The sequence below is a fragment of the Homo sapiens genome, chromosome 11 (genome assembly GCF_000001405.40).
Source record: "Homo sapiens chromosome 11, GRCh38.p14 Primary Assembly".
NCBI lineage: Eukaryota > Metazoa > Chordata > Mammalia > Primates > Hominidae > Homo > Homo sapiens.
Genome location: NC_000011.10, coordinates 38,481,124 through 38,490,221, shown reverse-complemented (window position 1 = coordinate 38,490,221; position 9,098 = coordinate 38,481,124).

Below are 9,098 nucleotides of genomic sequence, written 5' to 3'. Positions count from 1 at the left end.
TGCATAGCCAAGACAATCCTAAGCCAAAAGAACAAAGCTGGAGGCATCACGCTACCTGACTTCAAACTATACTACAAGGCTACAGTAACCAAACAGCATGTTACTGGTACAAAAACAGGTATATAGACCAATGGAACAGAACAGAGCCCTCAGAAATAACACCACCCATCTACAACCATCTGATCTTTGACAAACCTGACAGCAACAAGCAATGGGGAAAGGATTTCCTATTTAATAAGTGGTGCTGGGAAAACTGGCTAGCCATATGTAGAAAGATGAAACTGGATCCCTTCCTTACACCGTATACAAAAATTTACTTAAGATGGATTAAAGACTTAAATGTTAGACCTAACACCATAAAAACCTTAGAAGAAAACCTAGGCAATACCATTCAGGACATGGGCATGTGCAAAAACTTCATGACTAAAACACCAAAAGCAGGAGCAACAAAAGCCAAAATAGACAAATGGGATATAATTAAACTAAAGAGCTTCTGCACAGCAAAAGAAACTATCATCAGAGTGAACAGGCAACCTACAGAATGGGATAAAATTTTTGCAATCTACCCATCTGACAAAGGGCTAATATCCAGAATCTACAAGGAACTTAAACAAATTTACAAGAAAAAAACAAACAACCCCATCAAAAGGTAGGCAAAGAATATGAACAGATATTTCTCAAAAGAAGACATTTATGCAGCCAAAAAACACAGGAAAAAATGCTCGTCATCACTGGCCATCAGAGAAATGCAAATCAAAACCACAACGTGATACCATCTCACACCAGTTAGAATGGTGATCATTAAAAAGTCAGAAAGCAACAGATGCTGGAGAGGATGTGGAGAAATAGGAACGCTTTTACACTGTTGGTGGGACTGTAAACTAGTTGAACCATTGTGGAAGTCGGTGTGGCGATTCCTCAGGGATCTAGAACTAGAAATACCATTTGACCCAGCCATGTCATCACTGGGTATATATCCAAAGGATTATAAATCATGCTGCTATAAAGACACATGCACACATAAGTTTATTGTGACACTGTTCACAATATCAAATTCTTGGGACCAACCCAAATGTCCAACAATGATAGACTGGATAAAGAAAATGTGGCACATATACACCATGGAATACTATGAGTTACAGCTCTTTGCAGGAAAAAGGATGAGTTCATGTCCTTTGCAGAGACATGGATGAAGCTGGAAACCATCATTCTCAGCAAACTATCACAAGGACAGAAAACCAAACACCACATGTTCTCACTCATAGGTGGGAGCTGAACAATGAGAACACATGGACACTGTGCGCAGAATATCACACACAAGGGCTGGTCAGAGGGTGAGGGGCAAAGGGTGGGAGAGCATTAGGAGAAATACCTAATGTAAATGACGAGTTGATGGGTGCAGCAAACCAACATGGCACATGTATACATATGTAACAAACCTGCACATTGTGCACATGTACCCCAGAACTTAAAGTACAATTAAAAAAAGTAAAAAATAAAAATAAAAATAAAAAATGAATTGATTGTTCTTATCCTGCCTGATACATTGTTCAAAAGTATCTCTGTGGGAAATCCATGCAGGAACTTCAGCCAGTGTTATCTAAACTAATTGTAAAAAACAAAAACAAATACTAAAAACTTTATCATTATATCTTTTTCCTGACAAAAACACACAAAATGATGACAATTTTACATTCCATATGTGATATGGTTTGGCTGTGTCCGCACCCAAATCTCATCTTGCATTGTAACTCACACAATTCCCACGTGTCATGGCAGGAACCCGGTGGGAGACAACTGAATTATGGGGACGGGTCTTTTCTGCACTGTTCTATTGATAGTGAATGAGTCTCATGAGATCTGATGGTTTCAAAAATGTAAATTTTCCTACACAAGCTCTCTTTCTGCCTGCTGCCATCCACGTAGGATGTGACTTGCTCCTCCTTGCCTTCCACCATGATTGTGAGGCCTCCCCAGCCATGTGGAACTCTTCAATAACTCTTTTTCTTTTGTAAATTGCCAAGTCTTGGGTATTTCTTTACCAGCAGTGTGAAAATGGACTAATGCAATATGTAAGCCTTTTTAGTAAGATGTATACATTTGAATCCTCAAATTAACTTTTCATTTTACTTAAAACATTATGCTATTAAAAAGCAAACACAACTCTAGCATGCCCACAATCATTGTGATTACCTGTTATAATTCCTTAAAAGTGTATTTGAAGTTGAACTTGTATCAAAAGTTATAGAATTCATACTTCACCAGGTAAAAAGATTTTTAGAAATCCAGAGCTCATACAGTGAATAAGCCCCTCATTACTTCTTTGTAAAATAATGCTGTATTGAAATGTCTTTCTAAACTCTTATCTTTTCATTTCATTTTGTGACTTTCTCTCCTTGTAGCTATTTATATATCATCTTCTCTCAATATTTACCAAACACAACTCTGTTCTTTTAAGTCGTTAGTACTCTCTCCTTATAAGTTGTCAGTAGCACAGAAAAACATTTTTACATATATCTTACTTATAGTACATTTAAATGGAGAATATTACACAACATTTCACATTGGCAGGGAGCAAAAGCATCTTCCTGCACATTTATTCTCTTTTCGGGAAAGAAAAGAAATCGTAAGCCTGGATTTGAACAATGGTCTTTTTGAGTTAAGCTTACCTCTGCTTTTCATGTTCTGGATTGTAGAACTCATGTGTCTAGCACTATAAAACATAGCACTTACATTTTAGTGCTAAATAACAAAACTTTTACTCTGGCAAAAGGATTTCACTGGGATTTAACGATCCTTGTGCTCATTCCTCATTTCTTCTCTGTTAAATTAACCAATGCTGCTCCAAAGCATTTTCTCTCTCCTTTTGTCCCTAGCTAGCCTCTTTCACTCTTATTTGATAATATCAACACCAGTTTTATAGAGCTGATTGAAAGTATATAATAATATGAATCCATGGCAGGAGAAACATTCTTTTTAATGGCATTACCTCTCCTTTTTTTTTCCCTGCCAAAATATGCCCACTGTTGTGTGAATATCTAAACTCGTGATCTGATACTGTTTAAGTCATTTTGCTATTTTCAACTTTGCTTCTTTTTAAAATATTTTCTTCCATATTATATGTTACCTTTCATCTCTCTTCCCTTAATTCTAATCTAATCAGAAAGGACCTTTTATTTTCATTTGCCCACTTCAAATATTGTCCTATATCTGTACTTCTTGTTACCACTGACATTCTTTAAATAATGGTTTACTTATATTTCCTTTCCTTCTTGATGTTTTATTTATTTATTTTTATTTTTTACACTACATTAAGTTCTGGCATTCTGACTCCTGCCTTCAGCAATATGGCAAAATGGCTCTCTTCAAAGTTATCTATATTCTTATAGTACCTAAACCCAACTACTTATTTTCTGTGATCTGAGTACAGATTTTGTCATTGTTTTCTTGAATGTTGATCTGTCTCTTCTTCCACGATCCAAGATACAATGCTAATCACATTCTTGTCTTGTACACCTGCCCCTCCTTTTCTCTCTATTTTACTGACTATTTCCAATTCAAAATTATGAATTGCTCAAAGAAATCACCCTGAAATTTTCCCATGTTCCATGTTTTACCTGAGAGATCTCAATTACTCTTCTGGCTTCCTTCACCTTAGAAAGATATCTACTAAATCTTTAAGGTGAAGATGGCACTCTTCAGTGACTGGTTGTTTCAGTGACACATTAAATTCAGACTGTCCAAAACGGAGCTCATTAAATTTCATGCTTAACCAGTTTCTTACTCTGAAATCTTCATTTTCAATTTTGGCATCATGAAATGATCCATCTTTCATATTGGAGAAAACTCCATTCTTTTTAACATCACCCAGCTCCCTGCTTTTTATTCTGTCTTACAAATTCATCTTCTCTGAATACTTTTTCTTCTACCCTTGTAGCTCTACTCCCTTTTATTTTCTGCAGGTTAATTCAAAGGTAGACTTCTATTTGATTTCTTTACTGTCATTCCCTCGAGTTAAACTTGAACTCCCGGGCTACCGTAGTCTCACTTCTTGACATTTTATTCACAATTGAATTATCATCTCCAATGCTTCATCTTGATGTCTCCAACCAATTCTCTTTGGTTATTTTGTAATATTGTTTATTTGCATTTAGTATTAATTGATTTTATTACTACTATCTTCTGCTGAATTTGACTTTCTAAATCACAGCAAAGATCCATGCCCTGGTTTTAACCCACTTATCCAGGATTATTTCCTATCATTTATATTTATGCTAACTGAAGTCCATGGGGTTTATTAATTCTTGTTCTATCATGTCTAGTCATCTCTTAAGATCATCTGTTGATTTATTTGAGTTATAATATTTTTTACTTCTAGAATTTCCACCTAATTTAAAAACTATATACTTTGTCAGTCTGTGGTGAATTTCTCCAGCATTTTCTGCTATTTTCTTAATTTATTAATCATAATTAGTTTTAATAACCTAAGATAAGTTTAATATTTAAATAATCAATGAGCTTATTTTGATTGTATGCTATTTCCTTTTCAATTTTGGTTATTTGGTCATTTTGTCAATTTTGGTTATTTGGTCATTTTGTCATTTTTAGACTACGCTGTAACATTTTTATATAAAAAATTTAGAGTTGCTATATTATGTTCTCTTACTCTAAAAGGGGTTATATTTTCTTATGTCTTAACACAATATCAGGAGACCACTTTGATCTTGGCAAAGATTTATTTTAAGTTGTGTTATTTTTGATCTGTTTAATTTTTTCCTTTGTTCCTAGAGTTTAGTTCTTAATCCTATGGTTATCTTACTGAAAGCATAGAATGGTTGTCTAAGCCCCTGCGCCTTATAAGGTCTTGCATTTCTGCCATTTCACCTAAAAACCTAGAAGGATGAACTAGCCACATCATTTTACAGAGGCTTGAATTTCTATCGTTTTACCTGGAAGTATATTGTGGTGACCTAGCCACTCCACTTTGGAAGAATTTCAACTCCCAAATCTCTTTTCCTCACAAATTATAGCTGCTAAATGTGTGCTTATGTCTTTAGCCAAAGAATTTCTATCTTCTGCTAGGTTATTAGAGTTTTGCCTTATGCATTCGTAACTATGCAGTCAACCAAACATTAAGAGGAAATTGTACAGAGTCGTGGGTTTACTTCCCTGTGATCTCCTGTTCCCCAGGATTTTTGGCATCCTAAAGTTCTGTCTTCTGCAGCTAGTAATCCTGCTGCTTTCTTCTTGTTCTTCAGTCCCCCAAACTTCCAACAGGCAAATATCTTCAGGGAAGAAAAGTGTAAATGTGAAACTTCACCTGGTACATTCTCTCAGGAATTGCAGCTCTACTCCTTCTCGTATGTGCATTATTTCCCTTTCAATGACATCAGACAGTTGTTTCATGTATTTTGTTTAGATTTCATGGTTATTTTTGGTAGAAGAATTAATCAATACAAGCTATTTTATCACAATTGCCTTCCTTTTTACTATTCTTAAAATATTTTGTGGATAAGTGGTGTTACATATTCCTGATTTTGTTCAATAGAATTTACAAATGAAGTCATGGAAGTTTTTTCCTAGGGAATTTTATTTCATTGAGAGATGTAGGAATATTCAAATTTTCTAGTTTTTTTGTGTTACTTTTGTTAAGTTGCATTTTTCAAAAAATTTGTTCATTTCAAGAAAGTCACCAAATGTAAAGTTTTCACAATGATCACCTATTAATTTTTTATTATCTATAGGATTATTTATAATATTAATTATAGTTTCCAAATTTTAGATGAGAAATGCTATTACATTTTGAAAAATTCAGAATAAATAAAAATAAAGTCTTCCTTTTGCCTTTGCCCTTCAATATTCCAGAAGCTTTTCATAAAATTGATGGGCTAATATACATACTATTCTGTACATAACTTTTATTAATATTTTTCCTGCAGAGATTGCTATATTAGGACACAAAAATCTTCTTCATCTTTGTTTATGGCTTTATAATATAGGCATACCATGATTAATTCTTGCACCCTGCACCCCATTTATGAACATCCACATAGTATCCAGGCTTGTCATACATGAAATGCTGTACTAAACAACTTTACTGTGCCCATTTCCACACATATATGAGTTTGTCTTTAAGGTAACTTTCTGTAAATGTAATTGCTTAGTCAAATGTTGCATGCATTTATAATTTTGAAAAATATTGTCAGATATTTTATTAGAGATTTATCTTAATTTACACACCTGCCAACAATGTGTGAGAGCCTGTTTCTTTATGCCTTTTCAACACCATATAATTAATACCAGTTTGAAAAAAAAGACTTCTGAATTTACTTTTTGTTTGCCTTTATTTATAAATACAGCTGAGTCTTTCTTTATGTTTAATGATGCCTCTATTTCCTATTTTCAAAGTGCCTATGGTTTTTCACTATCTTTCCATTGAACTTTTGTTAGACGTCTCCCTAATTAATTAATAGCTACTCTTTACAAATGAGAAACATTATTTATTTTTGTCCTGGAATATGTTACAAGTATTTCACTTTGATTTTTAGTATGCCTTTGCTTTTGCTTGTGGTAATGTTTAGCAATGCCAATTTTGTTTTAATTGTAGATAGTAAAAGTCAGTGTTTTTCCAAGTAGCAAAAATGTGTATTGTTGTGAGATATTCCATTATATGAACATGCCACATTTAAAAAATATTATGTAAGCTGGATGAGGTGGTTTATGCTTGTAATCCCAGCACTTTGAGAGGCCAAGGTGGAAGGACTGCTTGAGGCCAGGAGTCTGAGTCCAGCCTGAGCAAAATAGTGAGACTTCTTCCCCACAAAAAAAATTCTGAAAAATGATTAGCTGGGCACAGGGGTCTGCACCTGGTAGTCCCAGCTACTGAGAGGCTGAAGTGGGAAGATTAGTTGAACCCAGGAGTTTGAGGTTGCCTTGGGCTATGATCATATCACTGCATTCTATCCTGGGTGACAGAGCAAAACTCTGCCTCTAAAAAAACGAAAATGAAGAAAAAATTACATATATATTATATATATATATATATATATATATATACACACACACACACATAAAATGTATTCTAATTTTGATGGACATCTGAATGTTTCTATCACAAAGCTAATATAAATAACATTTCTCTGGAGATTTTGGTGCAAGTCTCTTGAACATTGGTGCAGACTTTTCTGTTGAGTGCTAGGAGTAAATTTGTCAAAATTTTCATTGGCTATTTTTATGTTGTTTTAGTAAGTAATTACAAAATTAGTTTTAAAGAAAGATACAATTGTTTCACTTTGTTAGCAATACTTGATATTAACAAATATTAAAGTTTTGCCATGCTGGTGTTTGTGTTGGGAAAATTCATTGTGATTTTAGTGCTAATTCCCTTCATTACTAATGAATCTAAGCACTGTACCATATGTCTATGAGCAATTTGATAATTTGCTTTAAGTGTAAGATTATTAAAAGTTATGCATTTTTTAAAAAATGTCTCTGGTCAAGTCTTCTTCTGTATTTTCTTGTTAATTTGTGGAAGTTTATATATTCTCGATGGATCTTTTGTGGTCCCATATGTTGCAGGTATCTTATTCCATTCCTTTGTCTATTTGATTCGTAATCATATCTCTTAACAAACAGAAATGTTTAATGCCATCCAAATTATCAGGTTTTAATTTTCTTAATGGCTAGCTTTTAAAATATGTTTAAGATAGCTTTTCGTTTTTAAAATTTACAGAGATGCTCTCCTATGCTGTCTCCCTGGTGATCTTTTTCACTTCCTTTATGTCTAGAATCTACCTGCAACTGGCCTTTGTGCATAAAGTGAAGTGATCATCAATTTTTTCTGTCTTTATAACTGTCCAAACATGATTTCTTACAAATATATCAATTTTATAAACCAAATATTTATACATGGTCCTGTCTATTCCTGGGCTCTATTTGCTTTCATTAATCAGTTCACATATTCTTATATACTTAGAAAAAAAAATTTAAACCAGGTAATTTACAGTTGAAAATTCTACCTTTATATCTAAGTTTTACTTTTAGTCATTATCTATTAAGCATATATTATGATCAAATATAGAGTTTGTATTTTCCTTTTTCTTCTCTCATTTTTCTCCTTATTTTGAAACGGGAAAAGTTTCCTTGTCCCCCTCGCAGGGCGTGAGTTGGGCATGTGGCTCGCTTCTTCAGTGCCCCGGTGCTCAAACCTCTAGAGGAGCATACAGACTGGCAGGCTGTGGGCTCTGACCCCACGGCAGTGTCTAGGGGTAAATGTTTACAGCTGAAGCCCCAGTAGGCATCTGTTACAGGGTGCTCTTTTAGTTTTGCCGTCTATAGGTGGCTTGTGTTAGTCGGCTCAGTTAGACTCCCTTCCTTATCACAAGGACGGAGGGATTTCTGTATCCCGGGTTCCTACTTTGATGTACCAGAAGAATCAGATCACACTGGGCTTGGAGAATGAGTGCAAGGTTTATTGAGTGGAAGCAGCTCTCAGCAGATGGGGCAGCCAGAAGGGAGATGGTTTTCCCTTGGCGTCAGGCCGCTTGGTGGGTTGGGGTCTCCTCCGACTGCCTGGGCCAAACTCCAAGTCGTTCTGCCGGTAGGTGGCCTGCTGGTGCGCTGGTGCCTGTTGGTGCGTCCCTCTTGACGTCCAGCCACTTGTGTGTTCCTCCGCTGGCATGCTCCTCTCGACGTCCAGCTGCCTGTGTGTCTGCCTGCTAGGGTCTCGGGGTTTTTGTAGGTACAGGATGGGGGCCTGGCAGGCCAGGGTGGTCTTGGGAAATACAACAGTTGGACTGAAAGGCAAGAGTGCCTGTCTTCACCTAGGTCCATGAGGAGAAGCCTGGGGATGAAGCCCTTGCCAGTGACCCACCCTTATCCTCTACCCAGCACTTCCCTGCTTCCCTCCTGTATCAGTTTGATTTTAATTATATCATTTTATTTGTGTTTCCATTTAAACTGTTAAACATATTTGAACCTCAAGTTCTTGATTTATTTCAAATATATTGGCCTCTAGGTACTAAAGATAAGGAAGTAAAAACGTCTTTCTCTTTTTCAGCCATCTTTCTTTCTTCCTTTCCTTGTTAGTTATATTATTT